Raw genomic sequence first — 24,667 nt, forward strand, 5'->3', positions numbered from 1 at the left:
CGCGTCCCGCGGACTAGCCACATTTCAAGTGCTCAGTAGCCATGTGTAAACTGGTGACTATCATATTTGACAACACATCTCTAAAATGCACCCCTTGTAAAAGTAGGACTTTGTCTTGTTCATGGCCAAATTCTCAGTGTCTAGAATAGGCCTTGGCACATAGGTGTTTAGTTGGTGTTTAATTAGTGAATGATGACCTTCCGTTTCCTTGGCACCATTTCCTGCGACCAGTCCCTATCTCAGGTCTCCGAGAACAGTCTCTAACCTGGCAACCCTCAGATATAATAAGGACAGTTAGCGCCATCTGCTGGAAGATGGAGCATCACCTGCCTCTGAGAATCAAGCTCATCTATCCAAGGCTGATGGGGCCTGGAATGATATTCCTTACCTTAACCTCGGATCCCCAACTTTCCAAAGGTTTTTCTCTGCTCTTATGTCCTAGCATTACCAAGACAATGAAAAATAACAACACTGTGCCAGGCTCCCTTTTGTATGGTCCACACCTGAATTCTGGAAATGGCTGGCTGAAAGAGTATTTTGCAAGCCCATTCATTCTCTGCCCAGCCCTTTTTTTTTCTTCCTTCCTTCCCTTCTTCTTTCTTTCTTTTCCTCCCTCCCTCCTTCCCTCCTTCCTTCCTTCCCTCCCTCCTTCCTTCCTTCTCTCTCTTTCTTTCCAGAGACCCATAAAGACTGCCCACAGCCTTCAAGGTAAGAACTCCTGCCCTCAGAGGATGTATGCATAAACTTGTAGTAAATGGGTCAGGCGTGGCAGCTCACATTTGTAATCCCAGGACTTTGGGAGCCCGAGGCAGGCGGACCACAAGGTCAGGAGTTTGAGACCAGCCTGGCCAACATGGTGAAACCCCGTCTCGCTCTTTTTTTTTTTTTGAGACGGAGTCTTGCTTTGTTGCCAGGCTGCAGCACAGTGATGTGATCTCGGCTCACTGCAACCTTCACCTCCTGGGTTCAAGCGATTCTCTTGCCTCAGCCTCCCGAGTAGCTGGGAATACAGTTGCATGCCACCACGCTCAGCTAATTTTTGTATTTTTAGTAGAGAAGAGGTTTCACCATGTTGGCCAGGATGGTCTCGATCTCCTGACCTCATGATCCGCCCGCCTCGGCCTCCCAAAGTGCTGGGATTACAGGCGTGAGCCACCATGCCCAGCCAGGGGAAACCCTGTCTCTACTAAAAATACAAAAAATAGCCGGGCGTGGTGGTATGCGTCTGTAATCCCAGCTTCTCGGGAGGCTGAGGCAGGAGAATCCCTTGAACCTGGGAGGGGGAGGTTGCAGTGAGCTGAGATCGAGCCATTGCACTTCAGCCTGGGCGACGAGAGCGAGACTCCGTCTCAAAAAAAAAAAAAAAAAGAAAGAAAAGAAACTGAGTGGAAAGGTAAGAAAACTGAATGGAAAAATAGGAAGATTGAATAACTTGCTCAAAGCCACACAGCTGATGAGTGGTCATAGAATCCTTCTGCCAAATTGTATATAGATCTAGTTTCAGCTTTATGATTTTTTTTATTTAACAAATATTTTGCTGGGTACAGTGGCTCATGCCTGTAATCCCAGCACTTTGGGAGGGTGAGGCAGGAGGATTGCTTGATCCCAGGAGTTTGAGGCCAGGCTGGGCAACATAGTGAGACCCTGTCTCTAAAAAAAATAAATAAATATAGGCCTGGCACGGTGGCTCACACCTGTAATCCCAATGCTTTGTGAGGCCAAGGCGGGTGGATCACCTGAGGCCAGGAGTTTGAGACCAGCCTAGCCAACATTGTGAAACCCCGTCTCTCCTAAAAATACAAAAGTTAGCAAGGCATGATGACCTGTAGTCCCAGCTACTCGGGAGGCTGAGGCAGGAGAATCGCTTGAACCCAGGAGGCAGAGGCTGCCGTGAGCCAAGATCGCGCCACAGCACTCAAACCTGGGCACCACAGAGCAAGACTCTGTCTCAAAAGAAAAAACAAACGAATATATATATATATAAAATAAAAAACTATTATTTACTGAACACTTTTCTCACAGAAACATACAGCAAAGGTTCTCCTCTCATAGAGCTTTTGTTTGTTTGTTTGTTTTTTGAGACGGAGTCTCGCTCTGTCTCCCAGGCTGGAGTGCAGTGTAAACCCAGCACCACTACGGGAGGCAGAGGTGGGTGGATCACTTGAGGTCAGGAGTTCGAGACCAGCCTGGCCAACATGATGAAATCTCATCTCTACTAAAAACACACACACAAAATTAGTTGGGCGTTGTGGCAGGCGCCCGTAATCCCAGCTACTCAGGAGGCCGAGGCAGGAGAATTGTTTGAACCCGGGAGGCAGAGTTTGTAGTGAGCTGAAATTGCGCCATTGCACTCCAGCCTGGGCCACAGAGCAAGACTATGTCTCAAAAAAATAAAATAAAATAAAATAAAATAGGCCGGGCGCAGTGGCTCACGCCTGTAATCCAAGCACTTTGGGAGGCCGAGGTGGGCAGATCACCTGAGGTTAGGAGTTCGAGACCAGACTCAGCATGGAGAAACCCCATCTCTACTAAAAATACGAAATTAGCTAGGCATGGTGGTGCATGCTTGTAATCCCAGCTACTCGGGAGGCTGAGGCAGGAGAATTGCTTGAACCTGGGAGGCAGAGGTTGCGGTGAGCTGAGATTGCGCCATGGCACTCCAGCCTGGGCAACAAAAGCGAAACTCTGTCTCAAAAAATAATAATAATAATAAAATAAAATAGTTCTTTGCGAGGCTGAGGTGGGAAGATTGCTTGAGCACAGGAGTTCAAGACTGCAGTGGGCCGTGATCGCCCCACTGTACTCCAGCCTGGGCCACCAAACAAGATCTGTCCAAAAAAACAAAACAAAACAAAAAGCCAGGCATGGTGGCTCATGCCTGTAATCACAACACATTGGGAGGCCAAGGTGGGTGGATCACCTGAGGTCAGGAGTTCAAGACCAGTCTGGCCATCATAGGGAAACCCTGTCTCTACTAAAAATACAAAAAATTGGCCAGGCGTAGTGGCTCATGCCTGTAATCCCAGCACTTTGGGAGGCCGAGGCGGGAGAATCACCTGAGGTTGTGAATTCGAGACCAGCTTGGCCAACATGGTGAAACCCCATCTCTATTAAAAATACAAAAATTGGCCGGGCGCGGTGGCTCACGCCTGTAATCCCAGCACTTTGGGAGGCCGAGGCGGGTAGATCACGAGGTCAGGAGATCGAGACCATCGTGGCTAACACAGCGAAACCCTGTCTCTACTAAAAATACAAAAAAATTAGCCGGGCGTGGTGTCGGGCGCCTGTAGTCCCAGCTACTCGGGAGACTGAGGCAGGACAATGGCGTGAACCTGGAAGGCGGAGCTTGCAGTGAGCCGAGCTTGCACCACTGCACCTCCAGCCTGGGTGACAGAACGAGACTCCATCTCAAAAAAAAAAAAAATACAAAAATTAGCTGGGTGTGGTGGTGCATGCCTGTAATCCCAGCTACTCGGGAGGCTGAGGCAGGAGAACTGCTTGAACCCGGGAGGCGGAGGTTGCAGTGAGCTGAGATCGCACCATGAGACTCCAGCCTGGGCGACAGAGTGAGACTCCGTCTCAAAGAAAAACCAAAAAAAAAAAAAATTAGCTGGATGTGTCAGCTTGTACCTGTACCTGTAATCTCAGCTACTAGGGAGGCTGAGGCAGGAGAGTCACTTGAAACCAGGAGGCAGAGGTTGCAGTGAGCTGAGATCACGCCACTGCACTGCAGTCTGGATGACAGAGTGAGACTCTGTCTCAAAAAAAAAATATATATATATATACACACACACACACACACACACACACACACATACAAACACACATACATACATACACACACACATATAAATGTAGTGAGTGACTGATACTGCCAATAAATAAAAGGAAAAACAGAAGGATTAGTGATGGATGTGTGTGTTTGTGGATGAGAGCTCAGAGCCTCAAAAGCCTCCAGGAGTCCACAAACTGGCAGCCAGACCCATCTGGACGGGCAGAAGGTAAGGAAGCAATGTTGACAGTCTAGGCAAATCTATTGGGCGTGGACTGCTCTGTACTCACAAGTGCAGGCCTAGCTTCTCAACTGAGTTTGGAACTACCTTTCTTTCTTTCTTTCTTTTCTTTTTTTTTTTTTTTTTAGAAACAGGGTTGGCCGGGCACAGTGGCTCACGGCTGTAATCCCAGTACTTTGGGAGGCCAAGGCGGGTGGGTCACCTGAGTTCAGGAGTTCAAGACCATCCTGGCCAACATGGCGAAACTCCGTTTCTATTAAAAATACAAAAATTAAGCAGGCGTGGTTTGGGAGGGATGGCGCCTGTAATCCCAGCTACTGGGGAGGCTGAGGCAGGAGAATTGCTTGAAGCTGGGACCCAGAGGTTGCAGTGAGCCCATTGCACTCCAGCCTGGGTGACAAGAGCAAGACTCCGTCTCAAAAAAACAAAAAAGAAAGAGCGGTGGCTCACGCCTGTAATCCCAGCACTTTGGGAGGCTGAGGCGGGTGGATCACAAGGTCAGGAGTTCAAGATCAGCCTGGCTAAGATGGTGAAACCCTGTCTCCACTAAAAATACAAAAAAATTAGCCTGGCGCAGTGACAGGAGCCTGTAATCCCAGCTACTCGGGAGGCTGAAGCAGGAGAATTGCTTGAACCTGCGGAGGCGGAGGTTGCAGTGAGCCAAGATCACACCAGTGCACTCCAGCCTGGGTGACAGAATAAGACTCCATAAAAAAGAAAGAAAGAAAGAAAGAAAAGGAAGGAAGGAAGGAAAGAAGGAAGGAAGGAAGGAAGGAAAGAAAGAAAGAGAGAGAGAGAGGGAGAAAGAAAGAAAGGAAAGAAAGAGAGAGAGAGAGGGAGAAAGAAAGTAAGAAAGAAAGAAAGACAGACAGACAGAGACAGACAGGGTCTTGGCCAGGCAAGGTGGCTCATGCATGAAATCCCAACATTTTGGGAGGCCAGGGCGGGCAGATCACCTGAGCTCAGGAGTTAGAAACCAGCTTGGGCAACATAGCAAAACCCTATCTCGACAAAAATTACAAAAATTAGCAAGGGGTGTTTCGGAGTCTACTCTGGCTCAGGAGGCTGCCTGTAAAAAAACAAAACAAACAAACAAAAAAATTAGCCAAGCGTGGTGGCATGTGCCTATAGTTCTAGCTGCTTGGGAGGGTAAGGTGGGAGGATTGCATAAGCCTGGGAGGTTGAGGCTACCGTGAGCTGTGATTGAGCCATTGCACTCCAGCCTAGGTGACAGAGTGAGACTCTGTCTCAAAAATAAATAAATACATAAATAAGAAACTCGGTCTCTGTCACCCAGACTTGAGTGCAATGGCATGTTCACAGCTCACAGCAGACTCGACCTCTTGGGCTCAAAGGATCCTCTCAGCTCAGCCTCTTGAGTAGCTGGGACTACAGATGCATGCCACCATGTCTGGCTAATTTTTTTTTCTTTTCTTTTTTTTTTTTGTTTTATAGATAAGGTCTTGCTATGTTGCCCTGGCTGGTCTGAACTCCTGGCTTCAAGCAAAGCAATTCTCCCACCTAGATCTCCCCAAGCGCTGGAATTACTGGCGCAAGGCACCATACCCAGCCAGAAGCTGCCATTTCTTTTCCACTGTCTCTTGTAGGATGATTTGAAGTAGCTCTAAGCAGGTGGCAGAGCAGGTGAGTCTCTCAAGGCTTTCCTAGCCCAACCCCTCAGGCTCTAGAGGGCAGTGCAAGTCAAGGTGGCCAAGGGTGGGCCCAGGGCTCACAGCCAGTTGAGACAGAACCACACTGGAATTTCTCTGACCTTAAGCACATTGCAGGGGCTCCTAGTACTGCAGAACTTTCAGGGACTCTTTTAAATTGCAGCAATATGGTGTGTGTAGAGGGTGTGTTTCTGGAAAAATTGTCTATAGCTTTTTCAGATAATGGAGATAAGGAAGGTTGGAGACCCTACCATAAGTTATGAAATCCATGGTATCCCCTTCCCTGGCTTGGTCTCGAGACAGGCTCCACACTGCCTTCCTAAATGTAGTCTGGCAGCCCATGATCTCCCTGGGGCATGCCATGGAGTACTCAGCTGCCCCCATCCAGGACTCTTTGTGTCCAATTAGGGGGGATGGCAGGAAACAAGATTTTCTCCGGTCCTTGGGGACTGCTGGGAGAGCCAGCAGCTTGGAACAGCTTCCTGCAGCTGCTGGGAACAGGGAGCCAAAGAATGCCTGTGCTTCCCTGGATTTCCTGGGACCCATGTCCTGCTGCTGAAGTCACTGGGCCCCACCAGGTCCCACCACGTCCCACCATGGGCCTCATTATGGGCACCTTTTATTTCATTATGAAAGGAATCAGGAATGAGATGACCTTTGTGTGGGGCAATGCAAGGCCCAGCAGGAGGCTGCCCAGATGGCTCTCTTGTCAGTTCCCCTATCTTTTTCCCTGTGCTCCCCCTGCTTGACCCATACTCCAGATCATTCTGCTCAGAGTCAGGCAAGTTCCAGCAAAGTCTAGGATGCCTGGTCAAGGCCTGCTGGGACAATCACCTCTGCACCATTCTTGTCCATCTGACCAGGCTTGGACATGTCCTGCTACTGCTGAACTCTTCCTGGGAGTTCACCAAGCCAGTAGGAAATTCAGCTGCTCCCCTCTCCAAAGACTCCACTACAGTGATCCCTCCTCCATGTGGCCTTCTCAGACCAGGCCCTCACACCTCCTTGTTTCCTGGGTGCAGCTTTTGCTACCCAAGAGCAGAAACACATGCTTCTCAGCTGCCCTGCCTATGACTTCTATTTCTCAGCTTTTTGCCTTCTTGAATGTCTAGGAATGGAGTAGGTGCTCAATAAAGGGCTTTATGATTTGATTTGGCTACTTCCCTGCCCTCCTCCCAATTCCTTACCCTGAGTACAAATAACGACTGAAGTGGGCTTAGACTAAACCCCAGAACTGCAGAAGACCCTATAATCAGGCCACCCTGAGAATATCTTTGTTCATCCAATGGGCCCTAGGCCTTTTTGCTGCTTTTTTTTTTTTTTTTTTTTTTTGAGAGGAAGTCTCGCTCTGTTTGTTGCCCAGGCTGGAGTGCAGTGGTGTTATTTTGGCTCACTGCAACCTCCACCTCCCGGGTTCAAGCGATTCTCTTGTCTCACCCTCCCAAGTAGCCGGGATCACAGGTGCACGCCACCACACCCGGCTAATTTTTGTATTTTTAGTAGAGACGGGGTTTCACCATGTTGCTCAGGCTGGCCTTGAACTCCCGACCTCAGGTGATCCACCTGCCTTGGCCTCCCAAAGTGCTGGGATTACAGGCTTGAGCCACTGCACCCAGCCTTTTTGCTGCTTTTTTAAGGGGGTGAGCCAACCTGGAGGCCTCTGCCTTTTCTTCCTTACTGATGTTGCCCTGCAACCTCTTCTCTCTGTCTCTGGATCCTAACTACTCCCATAATTCAACAGTGTCAAGACTCCACCAAGGTAAGTTCAAAGTAGCTGCTGGCCACATGCCCAAGGTGGGAGAGGGACAGAAACCTAGCCTTGTTCTTCCTGGACTGGTCTGGAAGCCCCTTACATGGCTCCAAGGCCTCTGTGTCCTGGGCCCTAGGGTTGGATAGGTCCTGGTAGCTATAGTTTTGATGGAATTGTATCCATTCATTGACTCATTCAGCAAGCATTAGTGGAATTCTTATTCTGGGCCAGGCCCAGTAAAGGTTACAAAGATAAGCACAGATCCATAGCTTGGCCACTTACTGGCTATGGGACTTTTAGTAAGTGACTTAACCTTTGGGCCTCAGTTTTCTCATCTGTAACGTGGGGCCAATAATAACTGTGACAGAGGGTTGCTGGAAGGCATGGTGAGATATCGTGTGCCAAAGATATAGGACAGCGCTCAGTGATGGTAACTTTTTTTTTTTTTTTTTTTTTTTTTTTTTTTTTTTTTCGAGACGGAGTCTCGCTCTGTCGCCCAGGCTGGAGTGCAGTGGCGGGATCTCGGCTCACTGCAAGCTCCGCCTCCCGGGTTCATGCCATTCTCCTGCCTCAGCCTCCCAAGTAGCTGGGACTACAGGCGCCCGCCACTACGCCCGGCTAATTTTTTGTATTTTTAGTAGAGACGGGGTTTCACCGTTTTAGCCGGGATGGTCTCGATCTCCTGACCTCGTGATCCGCCCGCCTCGGCCTCCCAAAGTGCTGGGATTACAGGCGTGAGCCACCGCGCCCGGCCCGATGGTAACTTATTATCAAGGGCAATCATTGCCCTCTAGAAGCTTGAGGTTTCCTAGACAATGAGGAGTCAGATGTCAGGAAGGCTTGGGGGTGTTGTTCTTGAGTGGGGTGGGCAAAACTTGGGTAGGTGGAAGAGGAACCTTCACAAGTGAGAGTATCTATGGGGGTCGAGGAGAGAGGAGGAGACTGGTAAGTCTTGACCAACTCCTCCTCCATGTGGCCTTCTCACATGGAGGTCCCTGTTGCTTAGGGTAGGGTGAGGGTGGGGCTTAATTTATCCTGCAGGAGGCTGGACATCCTTGCATGTCCTTGAAAGTGTGTGGGCTTGTGGAATTTGGGCTCAAAATTGCCAATGGGACTCTGTGGAAGGTCTTTCCAGAAAGCTACAGGTCTCCAGCACAGACTAAAATATCCAAGAGGCCTATTTTTCTTCTTTTTTTTTTTTTTTTGAGACAGAGTTTCACTCTTGTTGCCTAGCCTGGAGTGCAATGGCACAATCTAGGCTCACTGCAACCTCCGCCCCCCGGGGTCAAGCAATCCTCCCTCAGCCTACGGAGTAGCTGGGATTACAGGCACATGCCACCATGCCCAGCTAATTTTTTGTATTTTTAATTAATTAATTTTTTTTTGAGACACAGTTTCGCTCTTGTTGCCCAGGCTGAAGTGCAAATGGAGAGATCTTGGCTCACCGCAACCTCTGCCTCCTGGGTTCAAGCGATTCTTCCACCTCAGCCTCCAGAGTAGCTGGGATTACAGACATGTGCCACCACGCCTGGCTAATTTTGTATTTTTCAGTAGAGATAAGGTTTCTCCATGTTGGTCATGCTGGTCTCGAACTCCCAACCTCAGGTGATCCACCAGCCTTGGCCTCCCAAAGTGCTGGGATTACAGGTGTGAGCCACCGCACCTGGCCAATTTTTTGTATTTTTAGTAGATATGGGGCTTCACCACGTTGGCCAGGCTGGTCTCGAACTCCTGACCTCAGGTGATCCACCCGCCTCAGCCTCCCAAAGTGTTGGGGTTACAGGCACGAGCCACCATGCCCGGCAATAGGCCTAATTTTCTTTTTTCCTTTTCTTTTTTTTTTTTTTTGAGGCAGACCCTCGCTTTGTCACCTAGGCTGGAGTGCAGTGGTGCGATCTCAGCTCACTGCAACATCCACCTCCCAGGTTCAAGCGATTCTCCTGCCTCAGCCTCCTGAGTAGCTGGGACTACAGGTGCCGGTCACCACGCCCAGCTAATTTTTGCATTTTTAGTAGAGATGGGGTTTCATCTTGTTGGTCAGGCTGGTCTCAAACTCCTGACCTCAGGCGATCCATCCACCTGGGCCTCCCAAAGTGCTGGGATTACAGGTGTGAGCCACCGCGACTGGCTAGAGGCCTAATTTTCAATCAAAATTTCATTCATGGCCGGGCGCAATGGCTCACACCTGTAATCCCAAAACTTTGGCCGGTGGGCGGATCACAAGGTCAGGAGTTCGAGACTAGCCTGGCCAATATGATGAAACCCCGTCTCTACTAAAAACACAAACATTAGCTGGGCATGGTAGCGGGTGCCTATAGTCCCAGCTACTTGGGAAACTGAGGCGAAGAACTGCTTGAACCCAGGAGGCGGATGCAGTGAGCCGAGATCATGCCACTGCACTCCAGCCTGGGCGACAGAACGAGACTCCGTTTCAAAAAAGAAAGATGTGGAAGTGGAGAGGCATGGGGAGAAGTGGAGGGTGAAGAAGCAGGAAGAGGTGAGGTAAAGTGGAGGGGATAGGACCAGGAGGCTGGTCAGGGGGCACGTGAGGGATCCTTGTCCTCCAGCAGCTGGAAGACAGGAAGAATGCTGAGCAGAGCAGGATCATAGGTAGATTTGGGTTTGGAAGTTAGCTCTGGCTGGTGCCACAGTGGACTGGATTAGCAGTGTGCTGCACGCAGAGTCTCCAGCTGAGGACAGGGCCCTGTAGCCCCTCCTTCTGCAGACCATTGTTCTTAGGAGGGAGAAGGTATTCAGACGACCAAGGCCCAAGAAGACACGGGGGGTGCAGGGTAGAGGCTGGCACCTCAGGCCGATAGGAGGCAGGGGGACCTTGGCCCTAGAGGAGCCTGGGAACAGCAGCAGCTGTTGCTGCTGGCAAGGCAAGCGGGTAGGCAGCCCACGTCTGTGGTGGCCAGTGGGGGAGGGTCTCCAGAATTTGAGGCCAAGGACATCTGCAAGGGTGGGCAGCAAAGCCATCAAGACAGGGGAGGGGGAGGTTGTGGCAGGTCAGCCAGGGACAGTGTCCCACCCTCATCCAGCTGTCTGGGAACAGCTGCAGGAAGAGGGAGGGAGGAGGCCTGGCAGCAGCAGGTGAGGAAGCTCTCTAGTTGCCTAAGCATGGGAAAGGAGAGCTGGTGCGGGTGGGAGGGAATTGAGGGAGGGTACCCAGGAAACGGGGACGGAAGCATGTCCATGCCAAAGGGACTGCCTGGTTCTCATGCATGCAAATGCAGCTGGAATTCTTCAGGGAAAGAATGTGTGGGGTTGGGGGATTGGGAGTAGGGAGGGAACCAAGTGCTCTCCTCTTCCTTCCAGAGGTTCCCCCAAAGGCTATCCTCCTAGGCTGCTCGGCCCCACCTCAGGACTCCCCCCGACTCCTCATTCCTGGGTTGAATTTTCTCTTTCCCCACCCTCCTCTTTCCTTATTCACTCCTGTGGCTTGATCCTATTCCTAGGAAGAAAAGCAAACAGAAGGCCAGACACAGTGGCTCACCCCTGTAATCCCAGCACTTTGGGAGGCCAAGGTACGCAGATCACCTGAGGTCAGGAGATTGAGACCATCCTGTCCAACATGGCAAAACCCCCGTCTCTACTAAAAATACAAAAATTAGCTGGGTGTGGTGGTACACACCTGTAATCCCAGATGCTCGGGAGGCTGAAGCAGGAGAATTGCTTGAACCCAGGAGGTGGAGGTTGCAGTGAGCCGAGATTGTGCCTGCACTCCCGCCTGGGCGACAGAGTGAGACACCCTCTAAAAAAAACCAAACAAACAGAACCTAGGATTCCTAAGGGCCCTTTGGAAAGCTCTGGTCCACAGGAGTCAGAGGGGGAAAGGATACAGAGAGAAGTCTTTGCCCAAGGCCCCAGTCAGTCAGAGGCAGGCACCAGCGCACCTGCTTGTGCACACCCAGCCCTTGGGGCCTTGACCCTGGGTAAGACCTTGACTGTGACAGCAAGTGGGCCTGGGCATCCCTGAGCTCTGCCTCCTGTGAGCTCAGTGGGGCTTACTAGAAACAAGTCTGTTCCCAGTGGTTGTAGGTGTCCTGAGGAGGCCTGAGATTTCCCACTTCTCTGCCGGCCAGGGCCTCAGTGCTGCTGACCTTGAACAAATTGCTGAGAGCCCCAGGCAGCAGAGTGAGTATAGGGGGGTTTTGGGCAGAGGAAGAATAGGGGGTCAGCTGAGACCAGGCTTTCTCCCTGGGATTTCCCCAAGGTAGGAGGAGCAGCTGCTGGGCCCTGGAGCAGCCTTCCTCACACCTACATGTCCTCACCTTTATATCAGCTGCTACATTCTTTTAAGTATCCCAGGGCATGGAGATGATGAAATATTTCTTTTAACCTTTTCTAGAAAAACCCTCCACACACCATGAATGGGTTTTTGTATGGCACTGGGGACATGTGAGTGCCTCTGCAGAGAGCCACTACCATGCTATAGCCAGTCATGCCCACCCCTGAAGGCCCACAACCTGGGCTTCAAGCTGGGGTCTCTCTCTTTCTTACCTTAAACGCCAGTTCTGAGCTCAGCCCCTAATACTTCCCACTCCAGGCCTTCCTAGTCCCTGGGGTCCCCTGCCAGGTCCAGCATAGTTAACTCATCTGATGGACATAGACCTTTTCCTGAGGGTCACACATATTCGTGGGCGACCCCAGCCAGAAATTCTGTCCAGCTTGGTTAAGTGACAGCTGCTGGGAGGGACGTTTGAGGGTCACCGGCCCAGAGCATCCCAGAGATGGATGGGACAGCTGGCCTGGGCTTTGTGCCTACCAGGTGACCCTACACCTGTCCTGAAGGCCTCCAGCATGCTTGTGTCAAGCAGTAGCTCTGGGGGAGGTAGGTGGGGGTTTGCCCTGGAATCCATCTTAAGGCAGGACCTTCCCCAACTGCTCCCTGCTCCCCAGCTACCCTCTCCTCTCCACTCTCTCCTTTCTCCCACCTCTGCCATTGGCCCAGTCCATGGGTTTCCTTTCCCCAGGCAGTTGACGCTGGGCCCTCTCTGATGGGCCATGCTGGGTCTCCCCTGAAGTCCTTACATACTGAGTATACCAGGAGTATATCCAGGCCCAAGGGAGCCCTTCCTCCACCATGTCCCTTCCCCTTTGACCTTTCTCTCCTGGGGCTGGAAGGAGGGGAGTGGCCTCTCTGCATTCCAGGGAAGGTGGAGGAAGGACAAGTGAGAAATTTTCTCTCTAAATGCTTGTTCTGACTTGACTTCCCTGATGCCTGTTGCCCCTCCTCCACATGACCCCCATCTCTGCCTCCACTCTGCCTGCTCTCTCCTCCCCAACCCCTCCTCTGTGCTCCCACCTTTCTTTTCCCACCTACAGGGGAAAGAAGGGCTGCAAGCCTGGAGCTCAGCTGCTGTCCCCTCACCCCTCACCCAACTGCATTCCTTCCTGGAGGCCTGAGGGCACTGCCTGCCCTGGCCCTCCCACCCTCCTTCTCCTCCTCCTCCTCCTCCTTGCTCCCATCTTTCAGCTACCATGCCCCTTGCTCCTGGGATCCTACCTTTCTGGCAAAGCCCAGCCTGGTTAAATATAGTGCTGGTGCCTGCTCTCCCATCTGTTGCTTTCTCTCCTTTATCACCACTCCATTCACTGCTCAGGCCTTGGGGATTTCCAAGATCTTTCAGGCCTGCCCTGCCCACTTTCTCCTAAGCCTTCACTGTGGCCTTTCTCTAGGCTTATTCCATTCACTCTCCAGAAAACCCCAGGGTTTCCTCCGTGTTCACCTCCTATAGGCTCTGCCTTCAAAGAGTGGATTTCTCAAATGTTCTGCACCACACAGTACACCCTGGTTCCCCCCTTCCCTCTCATCCCCTTTGTAACTACCTGATTATTACATTTGTATTTACTTATTTTATTTACTGTCTTATTTGTCTGGAATTTGGGCTCCACAAGGGAAGGGCTTGTCCCTTTTATTTCTTCCTGTGTTCCTAGCATACAATAGACTCAGTAAATATCTGTGGATTCAACAAGGCATGGATGGATGTTTCACCCTGGCCGTGACTCAGTCACATAATCTGGTCTTCTGTCATTTTTAGTGAGCAGACAGGGCCACAGCCCACATATGAGGTCACTTGATGATGAGGTGACCAAGGGGCTTAGAGAGGGCAAGCAGCTTTGCAAAGTCATACAGTGAACTCGGCTCTGAGTCTCAGCAGGGGCTTATTCTTTTTTTTTTTTTTTGAGACGGAGTCTCACTCTGTCGCCAGGCTGGAGTGCAGTGGCATGATCTCGGCTCACTGCAAGCTCTGCCTTCCGGGTTCACGCCATTCTCCTGCCTCAGCCTCCTGAGTAGCTGGGACTACAGGCGCCCGCCACCACGCCCGGCTAATGTTTTGTATTTTCAGTAGAGACGGGGTTTCACCGTGTTCCGTGTTAGCCAGGATGGTCTCGATCTCCTGACCTCGTGATCCACCCTCCTCTGCCTCCCAAAGTGCTGGGATTACAGGCGTGAGCCACCGTGCCTAGCCAGCAGGGGCTTATTCTTTATTCTTTTTTTTTTTTTTGAGATGGAGTTTCGCTCTTGTTGCCCAGTGCCCAGGCTAGAGTGCAGTGGCGTGGTCTCGGCTCACTGCAACCTCTGCCTCCTGGGTTCAAGCGATTCTCCTGCCTCAGCTGCCCAAGTAGCTGGGACTACAGGGATAGGCCACCACGCCCGGCTAATTTTGTATTTTTAGTAGAGACAGGGTTTCTCCATGTTGGTCAGGCTGGTCTCGAACTCCTGACCTCAGGTGATCCGCCCGCCTCGGCCTCCCAAAGTGCTGGGATTACAGGCATGAGCCACCACACCTGGCCAAAAAACACCTTTCCCCGTGGGTGGACATACATGTCCAATGCCCCCTCCCTTAGCTACATTCAGCTCCCTGCTGGCTCTGGGATAAGATAGTCCCCCAAGACTGACTTTGCATGGCTATTCCCAAAACACTGTGTCTGTGGCCTTGAGCGCTGGACTAAACACTAGATTAGGTTTAGTCTAGCCAGGCAGTCAGTGGAAGCAAGCAAAGGTAGGGGGTCTGTTTGTTCATTCTCTTCAGTTACTGACCAGCTAGCCCCTAAACCCAAAGTCGTGGGGGACACCACCCATATTCGTCCAGTTTAGCAGAATTGTTCTCTTCTCCATCACATGTCAGTCCAAATCTGGCTCAGGGGTCAATCAGGGGCTTTTCTAGGGCAGAAACACCTCTTTCAGAGCTGGCTAGATCTTATTTGGGCCTGTCCTTCTCATTGGCCTGGGCACCCCTCAGTGGCCCTTTAGTCAGAGACATTGATGGGCCACCAAGCAAACACTGACTCTGACCCTGCTGTCATGGCTGATGAGTATGCCCCTGAAACACTGGAAAGTGTTGGATCCAGGTGAAAATATAGCTTTTGCCTCTAGGCTGAGTGCTGACAGAGACAGGAAGGGCCTCTGAGAGCCCTATCTCTAGTGTAGGGAATCCTCGACATTTCTGGGATGAATGAGAGCAGTCCTCCGGCCATCTTGAGGTGAACTAATAAAGGAATAAAAGGTGAATGTTAGCTAATCAGTCACGTTCTCCAGTGTGTACATGTAAAGAATAAGCCCCTGCTGAGGCCAGGTGCAGTGGCTCATGCCTGTAATCCCCGCACTTTGGGAGGCCAAGGTGGGCGGATCACTTGAGGTCAGGAGTTCAAGACCAGCCTGGCTAACATGGTGAAACTCCGTCTCTAGTAAAAATACAAAAATTAGAAGCCGGGCGTGGTGGTTTACGCCTGTAATCCCAGCACTTTGGGAGGCCAAGATGGGCTGATCACAAGGTCAGGAGATGGAGACCATCCTGGCTAACACGGTGAAATCCCGTCTCTACTAAAAATACAAAAAAACAAAAAAAATTAGCTGGGCATAGTGGCGGGTGCCTGTAGTCCCAGCTACTCAGGAGGCTGAGGCAGGAGAATGGCGTGAACCTGGGAGGCAGAGGTTGCAGTGAGCCGAGATCGCGCCACTGCCCTCCAGCCTGGGTGACTGAGCAAGACTCCGCCTCAAAAAAAAAAAACATTAGCCGGGCGTGGTGGCGGGCGCCTGTAATCCCAGCTACTCAGGGGGCTGAGGCAGGAGAATCGCTTGGGCCCGGGAGGCGGAGGTTACAGTGAACAGAGATGGAGCCACTGAACTCCAGCCTGGGCCACAGAGTGAGATTTCGTCTCAAATAAATAAATAAATAAATAAATAAATAAATAAATAAATAAATAAATAAATATTGGCCCGGCGCGGTGGCTCACGCCTGTAATCCCAGCACTTTGAGAGGCAGAGGAGGGTGGATCACGAGGTCAGGATATCGAGACCATCCTGGCTAACACGGTGAAACCCTGTCTCCACTAAAAATACAAAAAATTAGCTGGGCGTGGTGGTGGGCGCCTGTAATCTCAGCTACTCGGGAGGATGAAGCAGGATAATGGCGTGAACCCGGGAGGCGGAGCTTGCGGTGAGCCGAGATCGCACCACTGCACTCCAGCCTGGGCGACAGAGCAAGACTCGGTCTCAAAAAAAAAAAAAAAGATTAAATAAATAAATAAATAAATTGCCAGGCATGGTGGCAGGCCCTGCGCCTGTATTCCCAGCTACTCAGGAGGCTGAGGCAGGAGAATCACTTGAGCCCAGGAGGCAGAAGTTGCAGTGAGTCAAGATTGCGCCACTACATTCCAGCCTGGGTGACAGAGGGAGAATGTTTAAAAAAAATAAATAAATAAAATAAAAATAAAGAAGGCCAGTCGCGGTGGCTCACGCCTATAATCCCAGCACTTTGGGAGGCCAAGGCGGATGGATCACCTGAGGTCAGGAGTTTGAGACCAGCCTGGCTGGCTAACATGGTGAAACCCCGTCTCAACTAAAAATACAAAAATTAGCTGGGCGTGATGGCAGGCGCCTGTAATCCCAGCTACTCTGGGGGTGGAGGCAGGAGAATCGCTTGAACTCGGGAGGCGAAGGTTGCAGTGAGCCGAGATTGCGCCATCGCACTCCAGCCTGGGGAACAAGAGCGAAACTTTGTCACAAAAAAAAAAAAAAAGAATAGGCCGGGTGCGGTGACTCACGCCTGCAATCCCAGCACTTTGGGAGGCTGAGGCAGGCGGATCACCTGAGGTTGGGAGTTCGCAACAACAGCGAAACTCCATCTCAAAAAAAGAAAGGTGTCTTTTATTTATTCAACCAACAGTCCCCCTTGCTATGGGGTTCCTGCCCCATAGGACTCTCTGTTCCTAGAGGGACAGGTGTGGAAGCTGTGGCCCAGTTGACTGGAGGAATGCTCTTTGCCAGCCATGTATGGAGGGGTCTGGTGGAAGTGCTGGAGTGGAGGGCCCTGCAAGGGGAGGAACTGGCTTCTGGGAAGGCTGGTGGTGACCCACAAACACGCCTACTGGCAGTTTATCTCGGATGAACTTATCAGTCCTTTCTTTCTGCCAGAGCTGCCAAACAATCAGCCTTCTGTTAAATCCAGACAAAAGGGACTCCTCCCTTGCCGTGACTTGGCTGGCCCTGCTTGCTAGCCCTCTGCCTCAGGCAGGCCTGTGGGCCTGGCATTTGGGTCAGGAGCCTCCACCCTTGACCAGCACCAGCCCCTGCCCCTCTCTGTCAGGCCTGGAGAGGAATCAGCAGCAGAGGCCTCCCTCCCCTGGGAAGAATCTGAGGATGAGCACTGGTCCTTGACCCTCAGCTTCTCAGAAACACGCCAGGGTAAAAAGCCCTGGAATCCTAGGACCATCAGAAAGTTTGGTCCACGTAATGTCCCTTGGATTTGTTCTAACTAAAATCAAGGTCTTAGTTTAAGTCACATGAGCCCCAAGCAAACACTAGGACATTTGCCTTGGGCTTTGCACAGGGCATGGACCTTTGGAGTAGCAACTTGCTTCCTTCCTTCCAAAACCAAAATTGAGCCTCTGCTATCTGCCACTTGCTGTTAGGTGGTGGTTGCTATGTGGGGCCAAGCAAGTTGGTCTCTAGCATCAAGGGCTCATACTTCAGTGGAGGAGACAAACCTTAATCAGATAATCTTCCTGAATCCTCAGGTTGAGGGTCTATGTGGATGAAACACTGGGGGCTGAAGGCCCAAGAGAGTTGGGGACTGACAGGCCCGAAGATCCTCATTCTTTGCCTCTTGATCAGTCCTCCCCATTCCATACCACATGGGTCCTTTGAGTAGCTGCTCCTGGGAGTAACCCAGGCCTCATTTTTTTTTTTCTTTCTTTCTTTCTTTTTTTTTTTTTGAGACGGAGTCTCACTCTGTTGCCCAGGCTGGAGCGAAGTGGTGCAATCTTAGCTCACTGCAACCTCTGCCTCCTGGGTTCAAGTGATTCTCCTGCTTCAGCCTCCTGAGTAGCTGGGATTACAGGTGTGTACCACCACGCCTGGCTAATTTTCATATTTTTAGTAGAGAAGGGATTTCACCATATTGGTCAGGCTGGTCTGGAACTCCTGACCTCGTGATCCACCCACCTCAGCCTCCCAAAGTGTTGGGATTACAGGCATGAGCCACCGCGCCCAGCCTTTTTATTTTTTCTTGAGTCAGGATCTTACTCTGTCACCTGGCTGGAGTGCAGTGGCATGACTGCAGCTCACTGCAACCTCCACCTCCCAGGCTCAAGTGATCCACCTCAGCCTCCTGAGTATCTGGGACCACAGGTGGGTGCCATATGCCTTGCTAATTTTTTAATTTTTTGTAGAGATGGGGGTCTTGCTAACATGTTGCGCAGTCTGGTCTCAAACTTCTCCCATCCAAGTACTAACCAGGCCCAACCCTGCTTAGCTTCTGAGATCAGACGAGCTTGGGTGCATTCAGGGTGGTATGGCCATGGACAGCTCTTGAACTTCTGAGCTCAAACGATCCAGCTGCCTTAGTTTCCCAAAGTGCTGGGATTACAGGTATGAGCCACTGAGCCTGGCCCAGACCTCATTTTTGGTTCTGCCCTCCAACTGGTTGTGAGCACCAAACCTGGCCTGGAGTGGCCTAGGCTCTGCTGGGGTTTGGAAGGTGAGTTACTGGGGACCTTGTGCTGAACTCTAGAGTAGGCTGTGCAGTTCCCACTGAGGGTAAAGGCTTTGACTCTTAGAACTAAAGAGAGTAACAAGGCCTTAACTTTACAGCCCCTAGCCAGTCTAGGGGACCATGAAGACAGCTATTTCTGTGTCATCTTTGGTATGGACTCCAGTGGGGGCTGGTTGGGTTCTGGTGGGAGGTGGTTAGGCCTCCTAAGTGGCTTGTTCAGGTCTGGTCAGCCAAGCCTCCTGCCGTTTTTTTTTTTGAGGGGGGACAGAGTTTCCCTCTTGTTGCCCAGGCTGGAGTGCAGTGGTGTGAACTCGGCTCACTGCAACCTCCGCCTCCCTGGTTCAAGCAATTCTCCTGTCTCAGCCTCCCGAGTAGCTAGGATTACAGGCATATGCCACAACGCCCGGCTAATTTTTTTTGTATTTTTAGTAGAGACGGGGTTTCACCGTGTTAGCCAGGATTGTCTCGATCTTCTGACCTCGTGATCCACCCGCCTTGGCCTCCCGAAGTGCTGGGATTACAGGCGTGAGCCACCACGCCTGGCCTCTTTCTTTTTTTTTGAGACAGGGTCTCATTCTGTTGCCCAGGCTGGAGTGCAGTGGTGTGATCATGGCTCACTGCAGTTTTAATCTCCAAAGCTCAAGCACCTGGCTAATTTAAAAAATTTTTTTGTAGAGATGCTGTCTCACTATATAGTCCAGACTGGTCTTGAATCATGGGCTCAAGAGATCCACCCTCCTTGGCCTCCCAAAGTGCTGGAATTACAGACCTGAGATGTAAAACTATATAGTCAGACACTAAAATATGCAGCAGAACGTATGGCTGCAAAGCAGTGCACGGTGGTGGGGTAGGTGGTGCACTCTCAGAGCCAAAGGAGTGAATGAGAGAATAGAATATATTTTGCTTAGAAACCCAAATAAATAATTTTCTGCATGGTTAGCCCCCCCTTTTTTTTTTTTGGAGACAGGGTCTCCCTCTATTGCATAGGCTGGAGTGCAGTGGTGTGAACACCCGCTCACTGCAGTCTCAACCTCCTGGTCTCAAGCAATCCTCCCACCTCAGCCTCCCAGGTAGCTGGGAGCACAGGTCATGTGCCACCCCGCTTGGCCAATTTTATTTTTAATTTTTATTTTTTGAGACAGAGTCTTGTTCTGTTGCCCAGGTGGAGTTCAGTGGCATGATCTCGGCTCACTGCAACGTCTGCCTCCTGGGTTCACGTGATTCTCCTGTCTCCGCCTCCCGAGTAGCTGGGACTACAGGCGTCTGCCACCATGCCCGGCTATTTTTTGTATTTTTAGTAGAGACGGGGTTTCACGTTGTTGGTCAGGCTGGTCTCAAACTCCTGACCTCAGGTGATCCACCCGCCTTGGCCTCCCAAAGTGCTGGGATTACAGGTGTGAGCCACCGCGGCTGGTCAAAATTTTTTTTTTTTGGTACTTTTTTTGCAGAGGCGGGGTTTCGACACGTTGCCCAGGCTGGTCTTGAACTCCTGAGCTCAAGCTATCCATCCACCTGCCTCGGCCTCCCATAGTGCTGGGACTACAGGCGGGAGCACAGCACCTAGCCCCTTCCTTTTCTTGTCTCTGTGAATGAGGTTTGGAGCCGAGACACTGAAGTATAGATAATTGCAAAAAGGTATGTTTTTGGGAGATGGGGCATTCCTTTCTTATCTCTGCAACTTGCATCTCCCAGACGCTCCTGAGGAGGGAGGGAAAGCCAGGGAGCCCCAGAGCTCTCCGGGATCCAGGGAGGAAACCATGGCTGGTGGCAGCCAGTTCTGTGTTCAGAATGTGCTTGCTGTCAAGAGTGCAGGCCTGGAATTCCAGCCTGGCCACAGGCCAAGGAGGGAATGGACCCATCCTGCGCATGGTGTGGGGATGAGAAGCAGAGCCCACCACGGGTCTCATTCCCAGACCCATCCGGTAACTGTCAGTTTCAGTAACTGTGAAGTCTGGGGCTTTTGGGGTGGGGGGCTGCAGGTTAAGTCCTGGGGAGAGCTAGAGCTACCTTAGGACCCTCCCCTTGAATGTTCCAGGCAGCAACCCCCCTCTCTTATTTCTTCCCCCACCAAAAGAATGCAGGCCACTAGGAGTGAGTGACCAGCGCCTGCGAGTTAGAGCTATTTTGGGCAGGAGAGCAGGCGTCGGATTCCAGTGTTCCAGGCAGGGGGAGGGGACGAGGGTTAGGCCTGAGGCGCTTTCCGACTCCCCAGCCTGCTGTGGGCGAGGCTCTAGGAGATGAGCTAGCTTCCCGCTCCTCCTGTCCCTGGCCTCAGTCTCCCATCCGTGTAAGGGCCGGGCAGCAAGGCTTTCATCCTTTGCAATTGAGAGAACGCTTCCTGATTGTTCTCATGGCTTAGAAATACCCCTTGATTTGCATTCGAAGGAAATAAGGAGGGCTGAACGCAGTCGACGGGTGGCCAGTTGCTGGGCCAGTTCGCAGTCCTGACTGTCCCTTGATTAGTCTTAGAGGCCCAAAGGCCTGAAGTTGGGCGGGGAGCCCCTCCCCCACACTACTGGTTCTGAAGGCTCCGAGTGACCGGGACCGACCGCCGGGGTGTGTCCCGGGACGGACTTCCCTGGCCGTGGGGGCGAGGCTTCCATAATGGGGCGTGACTTTTAGGGCGGGGGAGTGGCTAGCCAATGAGCAGAGAGGTGCTGGCCGGGGCGGGGCTTGCGCGCGGGTGCGGCGCGCTGCGGAGCGGCCGACGCAGGCAGAAGCCGGCGGCGCGCGGACAGCCAGTCGGCGCCGCGCGGAGCTGGCCGCTGGATTGGCTGCAACACTCGCGTGTCAGGCGGTTGCTAGGCTCCGGCCGCGCGCCCCGCCCTTGCGCTCAGCGCCCTCTCACCGCCCGGTACGTGCTCGCGCGAAGGCTGCGGCGCGGCGCTCGCGCCTCTTAGGCTTGGCGGTGGCGGCGGCGGCAGCTTCGCGCCGAATCCCCGGGGAGCGGCGGTGGCGGCGTCCTGGGGCCAGGAGGAGCGAACACCTGCCGCGGTCCTCCCGCCGGCGCTGGGTGAGTGCACCGCCCGCCCTATCCGCTGTGCCTGGCTGCTTGGGCCCCCATCCCTGCTGCCGGCTGAGCCTTCCGCGGAACACCTGCTGCTGCTCGCTGTTCGGCCCGGGGCGGGGACACGGCCGCGGACGTCCTTGTGGGTGAGGAGGCGGTGCCGCCCGGGCGGAGCCGCCCCTTTGCTCTGGGTCCCGCAGGCAAAGGCTCGGAGCGTTCGGCTGCAAGGCCCGGGCCGCGCGCCGCGGCGATGGGCCAGGCCTTAGCTCGGCCCGCGCTCCCGGGAACGTGGAGCCTGCGCCTTGGCCGCGGTCGTGAGCCGCCTGCGGGCCGCCTCCCTGGCTTCCAATAGGGGTTGTGGCCCAGTTGGGCCGGATTCCGACTGTGGGGAGTCGAGCCCCGCTAGAGGCAGGGAAGGGCACCGCTGCCGCCACTGCTCTGTCAGAGCTGCTCAGAGCCTTGGTGGGTTCCGTCATCCTTACTTGAGCTCCTTTGGAAGCTTGTTTACTTACTACCTTTTCACTTTGTATTTGGCAGACCTGGTTCACCTGCGAGTGTATTTGGATAGTGTCTCCACAGAAAATGTCGTCTCGGCTTGGAATCTTTTTGCCATAAATTCTAAGTTAGTTTCCTACAAACTCAACTGGTAACTTAAAATGCATCCTTTAATCTCTATAACTTGAAAAGTTCTTATTTTTGTAAATCGAGTTGCTTCAGAATTAGTTTTAATGGTGACGATGAAGTTTTGACTGGTTGAGGCAAGAGCCTGGGACAGCACCTTCATAGCGCAGAGTCTAACTTAAGATTCTAGCCTGCTGCTTCCCTAAATAAGCGAGTAGAAGTGACTCCTGGCATAGAAGCCAGACTCCGTGAAGGGAAGGTGGTGTTTATAGGACATAATTCCAGATAAAGAGCTGGATGTGCTTTCAGGTGTTTTGCAAAGTCTGGTGTAGATGGGGTATTGCAGTTTTATCAGGTTCTATGCTTAGTTAAGTTCAGAGACATTATTTTGGAATGTTCCTGTTCTAAAAAAGAATTCAACCGTACTACATTTTGGAGGCATAAAAATCCATAGTTTGAGTATGGAGAAGTTTAGTTGAACTTTTGTGGGTTTTTTTTGCTGTGAACTAAGGAAGAAGAGCTCATGGCCTGTGTCCTGTATTTTGGAGAAATCAGATTTCAGTAGGGAGTTGGATCCATCATGTGAAGACCCTATGGGATATAAAAGCTTGTGCTGACATGTGCTTTTGTTAAAAGAGGCACAGTGCAAATCCTCACTGTTCTTAAAAATTGATTTTGCAAAATGCATTTATTCATTTGAACAAATATTTTGATTCACTACCTGCCAAATTCTGTGGTAGATCCTAGGGACCCATGTAAAAGAGTCTGCTTCTGCCCTTAAGGAATTCAGTTTAGGGGGCAGTGGGGACCAGGGAACCCATGATTAATAGTGTCTGCCCGCTAAGCGTGCTCACATAGTAGCCTGAGGAGAGAGGGAATTCCTGAGCTGTGGTTTTCAGGGCCAGCAGGAATTAGTGGGGGACATCAAGGCCTGGACACAGGGAACCACATGTACATGAGCACCTAAAATAGTGCTTGGGAGTCCTCCAGCTTGGCAGGTGCGAGCTCTGGGCCTGCCTTGTGCTCAGGAGTTCCAACTTTGTATGCGGGGTGCAGGAGTCTGGGGAGCCTTTTAATCAGTAGAGTGGTGTGACCCAGACCTGTGTTTAGAAAGATATTGCTGGTGGAGTGGCAGGAAGAGGGAGGGGGTCAGGACCTCTGGCAGTTAAGTCAGCTAACAGAGGAGAGGTGGGGAGGGAGAAGGAGCCATCAGAAAAGAGAGACTGAAAAGGTAGTACAGAGGGGATGTCCTGCCATGATGGGGGAGGAGCTACATTCTGGAATGCATGGGCCAGAAGACCAAGCATAACCAAGGATTTAAATTCCTTGTTGACTACCTGGTATAGTGACCTACAGAGTTGCTTGTGTCTGGTTAGTGTTGAGGATGGTGGGATTTGGAGGGACCACTTAGGGACCACTTAGACTGCCGTCGATGCATAGGAAAGGAGGCCTGGCATTTGATTATTAAAAACTTTATCGCCGGGCATGGTGGCTCCCACCTGTAATCCCAGCAGTTTGGGAGGCCGAGGCGGGCGGATCACGAGGTCAGGAGATCGAGATCATCCTGGCTAACACGGTGAAACCCCCTCTCTACTAAAAATACAAAAAATTAGCCGGGCGTGGTGGTGGGCACCTGTAGTCCCAGCTACTCAGGAGGCTGAGGCAGGAGAATGGCGTGAACCCGGGAGGCGGAGCTTGCAGTGAGTTGAGATAGAGCCACTGCACTCCAGCCTGGGCCACAGATCGAGACTCCGTCTCAAAAACAAAACAAAAAACAACTTTATCTCCAGGCAGGGCGTGGTGGCTCACGCCTGTAATCCCAGCACTTTGGGATTCTGAGGCAGGTGGATTACCTGAGGTCAGGAGTTCAGGACCAGCCTGGCCGACATGGTGAAACCCCGTCTCTACTAAAAAATACAAAAATTAGCCAGGCATGGTGGCGGGCGCCTTTAATCGCAGCTACTCGGGAGGCTGAGACAGGAGAATCGCTTGAACCCGGGAGGCGGAGGTTGCAGTGAGCTGAAAGCCTGGGTGACAAGAGCAAAACTCGGTCTCAAAAAAAATAAAAAATAAAACAAAACAACTGGCCAGGCGCGGTGGCTCACGCCCGTAATCCCAGCACTTTGGGAGGCTGAGGCGGGTGGATCACGAGGTCAGGAGATCAAGACCATCCTGGCTAACACGGTGAAACCCTGTCTCTACTAAAAATACAAAAAATTAGCCAGGTGGGGTGGCGGGCGCCTGTAGTCCCAGCTACTCATTCTCCTGGAGGCTGAGGCAGGAGAATGGCGTGAACCCGGGAGGCGGAGCTTGCAGTGAGCTGAGATAGCGCCACTGCAGTCCGGCCTGGGCGACAGAGCGAGACTCCGTCTCAAAACAAAAAAAAAACACAAAAAAAACACAAAACTTTATCTCCTACTTGAACCTGGGGTACTGCATTTCCTCTTGCGCACAGCAGGCATCTTAACCCGTGAGAGACAATGTGTGTTCATCCTTGTGGAGGCAGTTGAGAGCATATTTCATTTCTTTTCTTCCTTTTTTTTTTTTGAGACGGAGTCTTGCTCTGTCACATCACCTAGGCTGGAATAAAGTGGCGTGATCTT

The 24,667-nt window shown here is 51.9% G+C and overlaps 1 protein-coding gene and 1 pseudogene across 55 annotated transcripts in view, besides 5 other annotated features; one reads left to right on the plus strand and one right to left on the minus strand.

Annotated features, from left to right (window-relative positions):
* Positions 1-140: an enhancer, noted in NCBI's record as "active region_19871". NCBI's record gives its function as "activates an Ori minimal core promoter by ATAC-STARR-seq in GM12878 lymphoblastoid cells {active_cell/tissue: GM12878}" and the evidence as "EXISTENCE:reporter gene assay evidence [ECO:0000049][PMID:35858748]".
* Positions 9,946-10,701: an enhancer, noted in NCBI's record as "H3K27ac-H3K4me1 hESC enhancer chr3:49496363-49497118 (GRCh37/hg19 assembly coordinates)". NCBI's record gives its function as "activates a minimal SCP1, AML or CMV promoter by ChIP-STARR-seq in naive H9 embryonic stem cells {active_cell/tissue: H9 hESC(naive)}" and the evidence as "EXISTENCE:reporter gene assay evidence [ECO:0000049][PMID:30033119]".
* Positions 12,214-12,969: an enhancer, noted in NCBI's record as "H3K27ac-H3K4me1 hESC enhancer chr3:49498631-49499386 (GRCh37/hg19 assembly coordinates)". NCBI's record gives its function as "activates a minimal SCP1, AML or CMV promoter by ChIP-STARR-seq in naive H9 embryonic stem cells {active_cell/tissue: H9 hESC(naive)}" and the evidence as "EXISTENCE:reporter gene assay evidence [ECO:0000049][PMID:30033119]".
* Positions 15,769-16,269: an enhancer, noted in NCBI's record as "H3K27ac hESC enhancer chr3:49502186-49502686 (GRCh37/hg19 assembly coordinates)". NCBI's record gives its function as "activates a minimal SCP1, AML or CMV promoter by ChIP-STARR-seq in primed H9 embryonic stem cells {active_cell/tissue: H9 hESC(primed)}" and the evidence as "EXISTENCE:reporter gene assay evidence [ECO:0000049][PMID:30033119]".
* On the minus strand, positions 18,131-18,244 carry RNA5SP130 (RNA, 5S ribosomal pseudogene 130; annotated as a pseudogene).
* DAG1 (dystroglycan 1) overlaps positions 19,964-24,667 on the plus strand; it is a 66,668-nt gene continuing 61,964 nt past the window's right edge. For 25 of the 55 annotated variants that reach the window (XM_047447560.1, XM_047447561.1, XM_047447543.1 and 22 more), the window contains exon 1: positions 21,283-21,449. The gene's annotated coding sequence lies outside the window, so the exon portion shown is untranslated. Of the gene's footprint in view, positions 20,072-21,147; positions 21,906-21,980; positions 22,090-24,667 lie in introns of those variants that run through there. The other 30 variants (NM_001438880.1, NM_001438881.1, XM_047447567.1 and 27 more) reach the window with 7 other exon arrangements.
* Positions 20,962-21,701: a silencer, noted in NCBI's record as "silent region_14366". NCBI's record gives its function as "represses an Ori minimal core promoter by ATAC-STARR-seq in GM12878 lymphoblastoid cells {active_cell/tissue: GM12878}" and the evidence as "EXISTENCE:reporter gene assay evidence [ECO:0000049][PMID:35858748]".

Source organism: Homo sapiens, chromosome 3 (genome assembly GCF_000001405.40).
Source record: "Homo sapiens chromosome 3, GRCh38.p14 Primary Assembly".
Classification (NCBI taxonomy): domain Eukaryota; kingdom Metazoa; phylum Chordata; class Mammalia; order Primates; family Hominidae; genus Homo; species Homo sapiens.